Raw genomic sequence first — 13,369 nt, forward strand, 5'->3', positions numbered from 1 at the left:
TCTTCTTTTTTTTTTTTTTTCTGAGACGGAGTCTCTGTCTGTCGCCCAGGCTGCAGTGCAGTAGCGCGATCTTGGCTCACTGCAACCTCTGCCTCCCTGATTCAAGTGATTCTCCTGCCTCAGCCTTCTGAGTAGCTGAGATTACAGGCACACATCACCACGCCCAGCTAATTTTTGTATTTTTAGTAGAGACGGGGTTTCATCATGTTGGTCAGGCTGGTCTTGAACTCTTGACCTCGTGATCCACCCGCCTCGGCCTCCCAAAGTGCTGGGATTACAGGCGTGAGCCACCGTGCCCAGCTATTTTACTGTCTTCTATCTCTGTCATTTTGCTCTACTTTCTGGGAAGTTCCTCAAATTTGTCATCCTATTCTACTGAGTTTTTAATTTTTATTGTTAATTTTTAAAAACTTATTTCTAAGAGCTTTCTTCTGTGCTCTGATTTTCCTTTTCAAAGTCATCCTTCTTTGCTTCATGGATCTGTTATCTTTTCTTTTTTCCCCTCCTAGGGTATGAATAATCGTATGGATGTTTTCTTCTCCTTTATACTCACTTTTTGTTTCTTTTGAGCTCTCTGTTTTATATTAAAGGCATTCCTGGGATTTCTGGAAATCTTTGTTTAATAGCTTATATTTGAAAAACAACCTTATTGGGGCTGGGCACAGTGGCTCACGCCTATAATCCCAGCACTTTGGGAGGCCAAGGCGCGTGGGTCACCTGAGGCCAGGAGTTTGAGACCAGCCTGGCCAACATGGTGAAACCTCATCTCTACTAAAAATACAAAAATTTGCCTGGCATGGTGCTGCACATGCCTGTAGTCCCAACTACTCGGGAGACGGAGGCAGGAGAATCGCTTGAGCCCAGGAGGTTGCAGTGAGCCAAGATCACATCACTGCACTCCAGCCTGGGCGACAGAGCGAGACTCTGTCTCAAAACTAATCATAAATAAGTTAATTAAAACAACCTTATTGAGGCACAATTTGCATTTAATAAAAGACAACTATTTTCCACATACATTTTGATAAGTGTGGCACATACATGCATGCATGTAACAACCACGACAATCAAAAGAAAGAACATTTCCGTCACATAAGACAGTTCCTGTGCCCTTTCCCAGTCAATCCCCACCACCCTCACCCCTCAGTCCCACGCAACCACTAATCTACTTTCTTCACTATGGATTAGATTTGTCATTTCTAGCATTTTGTATAAATAAAATCTTACACGGTATACTCATACACAGTGTACACGGTGCCTGCATTCTTTTGTTCAGCATGATGTGCCTGACATTCATTCATGTTGTTGAGTGCTTCAGCAGTTCATTTCTTCTTATTGCTGTTTTTCCCCAGTAACCCATTGTATGAATATGTCTTTATTTATTCATCCATCTGCCAATGGACATTTGGCTTGGTTCAGTTTTAGTTATTATGACTAAAGCTGCTAGGAACATTCACATAAAAGTCTTTGTGTGGGCGTATCTAGCTGGAGTGGCCAAGTCAAATTGTCAGTGAATCTTAGGTTTTTTAGGAAACCATCAAAATGGTTTCTGAAATGGTTGTACCATTTTCCATTCCCATCAAAAATGTATGAGAGTTCCAGTTTCTCCACATCTTCTATTATCAATCTTTTAAAATTTTAGCCATTCTTATGGGTACATAATGGTAGCCCTTTGAGGTTTTAATATGCGTTTCCCCAACAATTAATGATGTTGGACAATTTTTCATGTGATTATTGGCTATTTGTATAGCTTCTTTTGTGAAGTGTGCATTCAAATCTTTTACATATTTTCTATTAGACGATGATAGATAGATAGACAGACGCAATTCTTGTTAACCACAGTAGTTATGTTCTATAAATTCAACACAAACACTGAATTAGAGAATACTGAACTGCTGCTCATACGATAAATATAGGATTAGGTTCTTATGAGCCTATGGTCACGATATTTTTATCAGCTGAGAAATATGTAACCTTGTTTTATGTGAATTTCTGTTTAGAGACACCCTTATTTAACATATGTCATTGATTCATTAACATGGAAATAATAGCCAACAGCGCTATAACTCATGCCTGAACAAAGCTGGTCTAACACATGTATTTTCTCTGCAAGGCACATGGAAGCACACTCAAGCGTTCGACAGCACTTCAGCACTGTGCTTGAGGCCATTGAACACAAAAGCACCAAATGTGAAAAAAGCGGCACTACGTAGGCAACAAAAAGAATACTTGTTTACAGTGTGAGCTCACAACGTTGGGTTCGACAATGACTGCTTGAATATGATACCAAAAGCACAGGCAACAAAAGAAAAAGTGGGCAAATTGGACTTCATAAAAATTTAAAAGGCCAGGCGCGGTGGGTCACGCCTGTAATCCCAGCACTTTGGGAGGCTGAGGTGGTTGGATCACAAGGTTAGGAGATCGAGACCATCCTGGCTAACATGGTGAAACCCCGTCTCTACTAAAAAATAAATACAAAAAAATTAGCTGAGCATGGCAGCGTGTGCCTGCAGTCCCAGCTGCTGGGGAGGCTGAGGCAGGAGAATGGCGTGAACCTGGGAGGCGGAGCTTGCGGTGAGCCCAGATCGCGCCACTGCACTCCAGCCTGGGAGACAGAGCGAGACTCAGTCTCAAAAAAAAAAAAAAAATTTAAAGTTTTGTACACCAAAAGGCAACATGAACAGACCAAAACACAACCAGCAGAATGGGAGAACATATTTGCAAATCATGTATCTGATAAGAGATTCATATACAGAATATACAGAGAACTCCTGAAACTCAGCAACGTGAAAAGAAACAACCTGGCTGGGCGCAGCGGCTCACACCTGTAATTCCAGCACTTTGGGAGGCCAAGGCGGGTGGATTGCCTGAGCTTAGGAGTTCGAGACCAGCCTGAGCAACATGGTGAAACCCAGTCTCTACTAAAATACAAGAAACTAGCTGGCTGTAGTGGTGCACACCTGTAATTCCAGCTACTAGGGAGGCCGAGGCAAGAGAATCACTTGAACCTGGTAGATGGAGGTTGCAGTGAGCCGAGATCATGCTACTACACTCCAGCCTGAGTGACAGAGCAAGACTCTGGGGTGTCTCAAAAAAAAAAAATTCTTTCAGCAACGTTTGGTAGTTTTCCTTGTGCAAATCTTTCTTCTCCTTAGTCAAGTTAATTCCTAAACTTCTTTGTAATACTGTTGTAAATAGTATTATTTTTTCATAATTTCTTTTTCAGATTGTTCATTATTAGATTATTAGTATACAGACATGCAATGGATCTGGGTTTATTTACTTGGTACCCTGCTACTTCGCTGAATTCATTTATTTTAACAGGTTTGTGCATGTGTGGAATCTTCAGGTTTTCTGCATATGAGATCATATCTTCTTCGAACAGAGATAATTTACTTCTTCCTTTTCAATTTGGATGCCTTTTATTTCTTTTTCTTGCCTAGTTGCTCTGGCTAAGACTCAGTACTATGTAAATAGAAGTGGCCAAAGCAGGCATCCTTGCTTTGCTCCCTTTTTTTTTTTTTTTTGGAGACAGAGTTTCGCTCTTGTTGCCCAGGCTGAAGTGCAATGGAGTGATCTTGGCTCACTCTAAACTCCGCCTCCCGCGTTCATGCCATTCTCCTGCCTCAGCCTCCCAAGTAGCTGGGATTACAGGCATGCGGCACCACACCAGGATAATTTTGTATTTTTAGTAGAGGCAGGGTTTTTCCATGTTGGTCAGGCTGGTCTCGAACTCCCAACCTCAGGTGATCCGCCCGCCTCAGCCTCCCAAAGTGCTGGGATTACAGGCGTGAGCCACTGCACCTGGCTGCTTTGTTCCCAATCTTAAAGAAAACATTTCAGTCTTCCAAGGATTGGTTTTGAGCTGAAGCTGCTCTCCTTGGCTTGCAGATGGCTGTCCCCTTGCTGCCTTGTCACATGATTGGCCCTCTGTCCACTTGTAGCTCTCGGTGCTTTGCATGTCCAGATTTCTTCTTATAAGGTCACCAGTCATATTGGACTAGGGCCCACCCTAACGGCCTCATTTTGACTTAATTTCTTCTTTAACGGCTTTGTCTCCTAATACAGTAACATTCTGCAGCTCTGGGGATTGGGACTTCAACATGTGAATTCGAGGGAACAAAATACAGCCCATAACAATGAAGAAATGGATCCATGAAGGGATGGAAAGGAGGGCTCACATGCAGCTCTGAGGGGAAACGAGGAGGCCATGACCACATTTTCTCCTAAAAATAAATAAATAAATAAATAAATAAATAAATAAATAAACAAACAAACAAACCACAACAGATAAAGTTAAATTCCTCTTCTCCCATCACTCCCCTGCCAGAACCTCCCCAGAGGTGGCTGTGGTCATCTGTTTGGTGCACAGCTGTCCAAACCTGATGCCCTAGGCTGGAGGATTTCATCAGCTCCTATCTGTAAAGTGAAGTGATCTCTAGGTGGATCCATTGGAAGGGTCTGGAGAGGCACGCATACTGATATTTTATTTGCTTATGGGCGGGGGCGTGTTTGTGTCCCACAAGCTTGTTTTCAGACACTTTTCTCTGCATGATCATATGTCCTACAGAACTCTGCACGTCTGGATAGATGCATATTATACATTGTTGATGAGGACTTTTGTCAACAGTCATTTAATTGTTACCACTGTTTCAAAACAGTACCAGGACTATCATGAATCCCTTCTGGGAGCGTTTCTCGGGGTAGATGCCAAGAAGTGAAACTTCTCAGTAGTAGGTGATATATGTGCATTTTAAATTTTGACAGATAATGTTAAATGTGACCCCAAAATGTATGAGTCTATTTCGTTCTATCCTCTCACCAATACGCATTATCAATATTTTTAATTTTTGTAAAAAAAAAAGTCATTTGAACTCACATTTTTCTAATTGCTGGTGAGTTTCTGCACCTTTTTCATACACATATTGGTTATTTGTGTTTCTTCTTATGAGAATCATCTATTTATATCCTTTGCCTACTTTTTTACTGGGTTGTCCTTTCCTTCCAATCTGTCCCTCATATTTTAACATTGAGGATGTAATTTGTTGCGGAAAGTTTTTAGCGTGGATGTCAAATTGTCAATCGTGACTTCATGGCTTCAGATTTTTTGAGATTAGCCAACTTTCCCTATTTCTAGACCACAAGCATATTTGTTTAGCTTTTTTACTCAAATTACAATAAATACTTTATACGCATGTTATTTTGTTCAAGGAAAAAGATTTTTTCTTCTCCGAGAGAAAGGCAGAGAGATCAAATCAGGACCCATGAACCCAGGCAAGTTCCACCACGATCTGTGATCCCCTTCCTGGGAAGGTCAGCTCAGGTTGCTGCGTCATGTGGGTCTGCAGTTTCCTGGTCGGATCCGTCTTTGGAGGCTGTGTTTGCTTATTGTTTAGTGACCAGATACCCACTTCAGGTACTGGAGGAAGAAGTCAAGCAAGGCTATGGCCCAGACCTGTGCTTTCTGCTTTAAGGGCTATAACCAAGCTCCAGAACACCCCATAGTTTGCGTTCACATCCTAGGCTCCTCCACTCACTAGCTGACAACACTGGGCGGGGACCTGACCTGCCTGTGTCCACTTCTCGGGGCTGTTGTGAGGATCAAATGAGATGATGCAGGGGAGCGCCGGGCCCAGAGCCTGGCCCACACAGCACTTAGCACACTCACAAATGACTGCTGTTAACTAGCATACCAATTACTAACAGGCATACGCATTAACAATTAGTAACATAGTGGTATTAATAGTGGAATTTGGTTATCATTGCTTTTACTTTTCCATGAAGTTAATTAGTCAGTATTGTGGGGTAGGAGTCTGACTTTATTTCCAAATTGGATAAACAATTGCTCCAACAGATAATCTGAAAGATCTTCTAAATTCCCATGCATGTATAGTAAACATTCCAACTCTCTATCCTGTTCCATTAATTTCTTTCTTTTTTTTCTTTTTTTTTTTTAGACGGAGTTTCACTCTTGTTGCCCAGGCTGGAGTGCGATGGCGTGATCTCGGGTCACGGCAACCTCTGCCCCCCGGGTTCAACAGATTCTCCTGCCTCAGCCTCCTGAGTAGCTGCGATTACAGGTGCCCGCAACCATGCCCAGCTAATTTTTGTATGTTTAGTAGAGACGGGGTTTCACCATGTTGGCCAGGCTGGTCTCGAACTTCTGACCACAGGAGATCCGCCCACCTCGGCCTCCCAAAGTGCTGGGATTACAGGCATGAGCCACTGCGCCTGGCCTGTTCCATTAATTTCTTTGCCTATTCTGGAAATGATGCCAACTTCTTAAAGGTGTTGCAAGAACAGAATAGTCAACACACTGAAAAGAATGTCTGGCATTGAGTACTATATATATATTATATATATATATATATAAAATGTGACCCCAAAATGTATGAGTCTATTTCGTTCTATCCTCTCACCAACATATAATATATATAATATATATACATATTATATATTATATATAATATGTATATATATTATATTATATATTATATTACATATTATATATTATATTACATATTATATATTTATATATTACATATTATATATTATATTTTATATTATATATTATATCATATATATGTTATGCATTATATAATACATAATATATTATATATGATATAATATATATTATATATTATTATATATAATATAATTAATATATTATGTATTATATAATATATATTATGTTATAATATATAATATATATTATATAATTATATAATATATTATGTATTATATAATATATATTATGTTATAATATATTATATTATATATATTATATATATATTATATATATAATGTATATTATATATAATACATAATATATTATATATTATATATTATTTTATATAATATATTATATAATGTGATATATTATATAATATATTATATAACATAGTATATTATATAATATATTATATAATGTAATATATTATATATTATATAATATATTGTATGTAATATAATATATAATATATATTATATATATATTTAAATATAAGAATACTTAACCCATCCTGGCTAACATGGTGAAACCCCATCTCTACTAAAAATACAAAAAATTAGCCGGGCGTGGTGGCGGGTACCTGTAGTCCCAGCTACTTGGGAGGCTGAGGCAGGAGAATGGCATGAACCCGGGAGGCGGAGCTTGCAGTGAGCCGACATTGTGCCACTGCACTCCAGCCTGGGCGACAGAGCAAGACTCCATCTCAAAAAAAAAAAGAATACTTAACCAACAAAAATTGTATATATTTATGGTGTACAACACGATGTTTTGATATATGTGTACATTGTGGAATGGCTAAATCAAGCTAATTAATATATGCATTACCTCACATATTTTTCTGCAGTGAGAACATTTGAAATCTACTCTCTTAGCAATTTTAAAGAATGCAATACACTATTATAGCTATTGTCACCATGTTGTGCAACAGATCACTCCTGAATTTATTCTTCCCCACTGAAATTGCGTATACTTTGACTACTATCTCCTCAAAGTAACCACCATTCTACTTTCTGCTTCTATGAGTTCAACTTTCTCGGCTTGCACATGTGAGATCATACGGTATTTGTCGGTCTGTGTCCAGCTTATTTCACTTAGCATGAAGTCCTCCCGCTTCCTGTGGTCTCTGTAACTTGTGCTCCATGCCTGGGATCTCTTTTACGTTACTTTTTCTAACTGGCCATTGCTGGGGCATTGGCCACCTTATGATTTTTTATGGGGTAACCTGTATCGGGCCACCTTGAGCCTTACTTGCATTTGCTCTAAGAGTCTGCCATTGATCCTCTTGGATTATCTGTGTGGACAATCATGTCCCCTGGAATGAAGACTGCTTTGTTCCTTTCTGTCCCTCCTCTTGGCTTGCTGTGCTGGGTCAGCTCCCAAGACAGAATTGAGTGGTTAACGAGCAGGCATGCATGCCCTGTTCCCTACAGCAAAAGAAGAAATGCTTCTAAGGTTTTACCATTCAGTCCCAGGCTTACTCTAGTAAGCACATTTATCTCAACGAGGTTCCCTTCTACTCCTAGTTTGCCAAGAGACTTATCAAGAATGGGTGTGACTTATCAGTTTTTAGGGTCTCTCTTGGAGCAGATCGATCACAAGCCTTTCTTCTTTTAAACTGATGCCCTAGAAAATTACAGTCATAGACTATTGTTCAACCAGTCCTGGGGCCATTGTTCTGGCAGCCCTAGGGACACCCCAACCCCATCATATGAGGATATTTCCTTCTCAGGGAGAAAGGCTGAGAGATCAAATCAGGACCCATGAACTCAGGCAAGTTCCACCACGATCTGTGATCCCCTTCCTAGGAAGGTCAGCTCCCATAGCCTGGGAAGGCTATGGCCCAGACCTGTGCTTTCTGCTTTAAAGGCTATAACCAAGAGCCAGAACACCCCGTGCCCACCGAGTCCCAGTCTCAGAGCCTGCCTGTGGATTGCAGCCAAACCCATCTGTGTCCACCTGTGGGGCCACATGAGCCGCCAGTTCTGGAGTCCAGGACATTCAGGCTCAGGAGAAATTGCACCTTGAAAGAGAGATGACCAGAGATGAGCAGCCTTTTAACTGGCCTCCATCTGTTGGTGTCTCAAAACTTCATCTGTCAGATACCAAAGGAATCTAAGAAAAGCTTCACCTAGAAAAGGGAATAATTCTTATTTCAGAAGTTTCCACCACAGGACTACTGTAATGTTCTATAGAAGTGCCATAATTTTTTTGGGATTTTCACCTTTGGAGGCATCCATGGAATTGACATGCCATTTTCTTTGTGTGTTGCCTGGACTTGAGAGCTTTAAAAAATACAGCCCAGGACCCAAGCCTTGGAAATTCTGATCCAGTTGCCAGGTGATGGATATTGAAATCTGCATTTTTTTTTTTGAGACAGCATCTCTCTCTCTCTCTCTGTTGCTGAGGCTGGAGTGCAGTGGTGCAATCACAGATCACTGCAGCCTTGAACTCTTGGGCTCAAGCATCCTCCTGCCTCAGCCTCCTAAGTATCTGGGACTACAGGTGCATGCCACCATGCCCAGCTAATTTTAATTTTTTGTAGAGACACGGTCTCCCTATGTTGCCCAGGCTGGTCACAAACTCCTGGCTTTAAGCAGTCTCCCTGCCTCAGCCTCTGAAAACGCTGGGATTCCAGGGGTAAGCCACTGCATCTGGCGAGAAATCTGCATTTTTAAAGAGCTTTTTCAGAAGGTTCATTTATGGTCAGCCAGGTTTGAAAACCACTGACTGAGAAGGTACTGGAAGGTTCTGGCCTCAGCCTCATCATCATTGAGATCAAAGGGTTCCTGGAAGGTCTCAGAGATGGCATGGTCACCATGCTAATTCTAGCCCAAGTGGAGCAGGAATGTGTGTGTCTGGGTGCACACTGCTGAGTCCAGCTCTCACTGGGAACTCAAGGGGACCCTAAACCTGTGGCTTCCATCCTGAGGGCTCTGGGAACTAGCTTTGTGCATTCATAAGCAGTCCAAGCCCCTTATACCCTCCAGTGTTGTTTTCCAAAATGTATACCTGTGCTCATGGTGCCTACGTTAAAAACACCGCTAACCTCAGAGCAGCTTTTTACAAACTTATATCTCCATCGACAGTTACTAGAAGTGTACCTACTATTAACATGCGTATTGGGTAGAGGACCAATGTGCAAATTTAAAATATATGTATATTAAACAGAGCTCTTCAAGCATGGACAGGCTGGGAAGTCCTGGGGAGAGGGCCTCCCTGAAGCCAGTGGCTGCCTCTGAGTTAATGAGCAGCTGGGTGGCTGCTGCCCTGACCGCTGGGCAGGCAGTCACCCCACTCCCACCCCACTCGGGTGACAGCTGGCCCGGGGGCAGTCCAGGACTTGAGTCATCCCAGTCTGTGACAGGGAGGGCAACGTTAGAGAGGAGGGCCTGGGACAGAGTGAGCCTTTTGACCATGGAACTGCCTGGGGTGAGGGTGAGGGCACCGTGGCTGCCATCCTAGTGAAGCCCCACCCCACCCGATACTTCAGGCTGACTCTTAGATTCTTAGAAGAGTTCTCAGCCTGCCCAACATTGAGTGGAAGGGTTTGGGTGTTAATGGCCTCAAAGGCTTCTGTCAGGCCCACAAAGACACCATGAACAAGCCCTCAATACCTGGCCAACCGCATGGCTGACCCCATTGTCCTTCCCTAGGCGTGGGCAGGGGCTATGGAGGGTGATCTGGCCAGCGTCTGATTCATAGGCGCAAATCAAAACGGCCACTGAAGCCCACGTGGCTTCCTGCGGGCAGGAAAGGAGATTTCACTCCTGCGCAGCCCAAGGACACAAGAAGCCCTGGCCATATGGCCATCTGGAGAGGAGAGCACACCGGACACCTGAGGCTGTGTGAGGTGAAGGCCAGCAGTGTCCGAATGCTCTCAGATGCCCCTGTGCTCAACAGCACGATCCCCAGTCCCCAGGCGCCCAGCTGGGAAATTCTGCTTGGTCTGTGGTAAATGCCCTTTCTGAGAAGCAACCATGACCTTCTCAAGAATACTTCAGAGGCACTTTTGCTCCTTCTCCACTAACCGACATCCTGTTTTGCTGGAACACATGGGGCAGAGCGCACACAGCTTTGTTCCTGCACCCGCCCTCAGAGCTTTGCCACCTGTTTTCAGGCTGCCTCTGCCTCCAAACCCTGCGGAGCCCTCCCTGCCCCGTGCTTTGAAGCAGTTTCTTTGGAAGCTGCTGCACAGGGGTTAACAACAAGCAACAACTCAGGTCGCATTCTTGTCAACGGAAGGGAGGGCCAGGTGGAACCGCCAAGGGGGCCATTTCTGGCTTTGCTGGAGGCTGTCAGCTTCTGGTGGGAGCCACAGCCTGAGGGCAGCCAGGATGGCTCTGCTGGGAGGGACACCCTGCCCAACCCTGGGAGCAGGTGACGAAGGCTCCTGGAGGCATGGTCACATCCCTGGGTCCCAGAGGCAGGAACAAAGCCCCCAGGGCAGGTGGGTGAAGGCTGCTGGGGGTCGGAGGGGAAGCCTTGCTGCCCAGGAGCTCAGGCCGGGCTGAAAAGGGCAATGCCACAGAACCCCTGGAAGGAGCAGGACAGCAGACAGTGTTCCAGATGAGACTGCAGAGGGCCGGGGAGCCAAGTACCAAGGGGACGTCAGGAGGGGCCATGAGGCCTCCTCTGAAAGCCACTGTGGCACCAGCATTTGCGAAGGGCCTGAATGACTCCTCTTTTAATGGACAGGCATCCAAGGGCTTCCGGAGAGCCACAGAAAACCTGGCGTGGAGGTTGCTGCTTGCCTTCTAGGAATGATCTTGGATGTGCTGGTGGCAATTCCCCCTCCCTTTGGTGATCCCCCTCACATCTGCCCCAAGCGACTTCTCCAGGGCCAGCCTTAGGAGGCAGAGAGATCCCGCTCTGGACTGCTGTCCCAGGCCCTGAGGGTGCCATGGGTTACATGTGTGTTTACATGAGTCTATGAGTTGAATCCCCATAAGCCTGGGGGAAGCACCATGTCTGAAGCAGCAGCTGCATTTGTAAGATGAAGATCTGAGCCAGTTTTTCATTATATCTGCAGTGTTCATCAAGAAAGGGCCTCCGGGTTTGTGTTTACTGGACATGAATTGAGCTGCTCTCCAGAGATAAGAAAAAAATATTACAGCCCTGCTATGTGGGCACCCCACGGCAGCCCCCGGGGTTAAGGGGCAGCTTTCTTTCCAAGGAATCCCATTGCCAAAGATGAACCTTCAGGTAAGGGCTCAGAGCTGCTTGCTTGGGCAGATACTTCCAGCAGGGTTCCCAGGGATGTGAGTCCATCTCCCCACAGAGGAATCTGTGCTCAGGCGCTGTGCCCAGGGAATATCAAGATCTGCACCCTGGAAACCTAAGGCTGTAGCCTCAGCCCCAGTTAAGGATCATGCGGTCTGGTCTGTCCCTTTGTTTTACAGATGGGGAAACTGAGGACCCAGAGGAAGCAAGAGCAGCCCCAGGCCACACAACCCTCTTTTTATTATTCATTCACTGACTACACTGCAGAGGTTGGACCCATATCTCATTATTTGAATAGTAAATTGTTTTTTCTTCCTGACCCTTGGTCTGTTGGGTCTCTCATTGCGCCATGCATCCAAGAAAGAACGTTCTGAAGCTTTCCAGTGCCACCCAATCCCTGTATCCTACTTTATGCTTGAAAGTAAAGCTCACGGGTTTTTTTCTACTTCGGGTTGTTTAAATAACCACAATCGGTCGGGAGCGGTGGCTCACGCCTGTAATCCCAGCACTTTGGGAGGCCGAGGCGGGTGGATCACCTGAGGTCAGGAGTTAGAGACTAGCCTGGCCAACATGGTGAAACCCCGTCTCTACGAAATATACAAAAATTAGCCGGGCGTGGTGGCGGGCCCCTGTAATCCCAACTACTGGGGAGGCTGAGGCTTGAACCCGGGAGGCGGAGGTTGCAGTGAGCCGAGATTGCGCCATTGCACTCCAGCCTGGGCGACAAGAGCGAAAAACCGTCTCAAAAAACAAAAACAGTGAAAAAAAAAACCACACAATCAGTGCAGAGTGCTGAGCCCTCGGCCAGCAGTACCTCCCTCCCTCCCGGAACACCCTTCCTGGCTACCCTCAGGCAGGCCCCGCCCACTAGGTCACCCCTGGCAGGAGGGTGCCTCCTGGGTGCAGCTCACCTGGCGGGACCGGCGCCTCAGCACTCTCGTGAAACTCCAGTGCCCAACCCAGTTCGGGCCAGCAGGTGGCGTTCGCGGAGCAAACACCGAGTGGTGCTCGCTTACTCGCCCCCTCTAGAAAGCACCTTGTTCAGGCGGGGGCGTCCAGACCCGCACAGAACGCTCCTCAAACCAGCAGCAGCTAAGAGGATGAGACTGCCGGGGACACGGAACAAAGCCTCCTTCCTGCGGCTGAGCGCGCCGCCAGCCCGAGGGTGGGGGCAGGGGACGCTCCCCAGGTCCCAGCAGGCGCCACCAGCGTCCCAAACGCCAGCGCACTCCGCCCGCGCCTCCCAGAGAGCCTGGTGAAACAGGGAGGTTTTCCTGGCCGCTATCCTGGCGGGGCGCCCCCAACCTGCAGGGACCCTACCAGGGCTCAACAGCCCGCTGGGCAGAGCTGGGGGGGATCGGAGGGCCCCATGACTACAGCGGGGCGTCCCACCCACCCTACAGGGGCCTGTGCAGCTGCCGGGGTCCTCTCCCTTCCCCCCTCCCCACAAGCCTCCGCAACCACTATGTGTCCCACTGTACACAGCACCCTTGACATAACTAACTCCATCTTAGAAAAAGACTGCATTTTACATATCATAGGACACTTTGCTAACAGGGACCCGATGTTTCGCCTGATCAATAAAGACTGCATCCAGCCAGACAAGGACATAACCAAGCACACTCCTCCACTCAGTCCTCA

The 13,369-nt window shown here is 45.5% G+C and overlaps 2 long non-coding RNA genes across 2 annotated transcripts; one reads left to right on the top strand and one right to left on the bottom strand.

Moving 5' to 3' along the window:
* Positions 1-968: 968 nt before the first annotated feature.
* LOC124907857 (uncharacterized) lies at positions 969-12,836 on the bottom strand. Its single transcript, XR_007087139.1, has 2 exons — positions 12,640-12,836; positions 969-4,223 (listed from the first exon to the last, which is right to left on the bottom strand). It is a non-coding gene; the product is annotated as an uncharacterized LOC124907857 (long non-coding RNA).
* Positions 10,684-12,047, top strand: LOC105373488 (uncharacterized). Its single transcript, XR_923076.3, has 3 exons — positions 10,684-10,955; positions 11,538-11,710; positions 11,908-12,047. It is a non-coding gene; the product is annotated as an uncharacterized LOC105373488 (long non-coding RNA).
* Positions 12,837-13,369: the final 533 nt, after the last annotated feature.

The sequence above is a fragment of the Homo sapiens genome, chromosome 2, assembly GCF_000001405.40.
Source record: "Homo sapiens chromosome 2, GRCh38.p14 Primary Assembly".
Classification (NCBI taxonomy): Eukaryota; Metazoa; Chordata; class Mammalia; order Primates; family Hominidae; genus Homo; species Homo sapiens.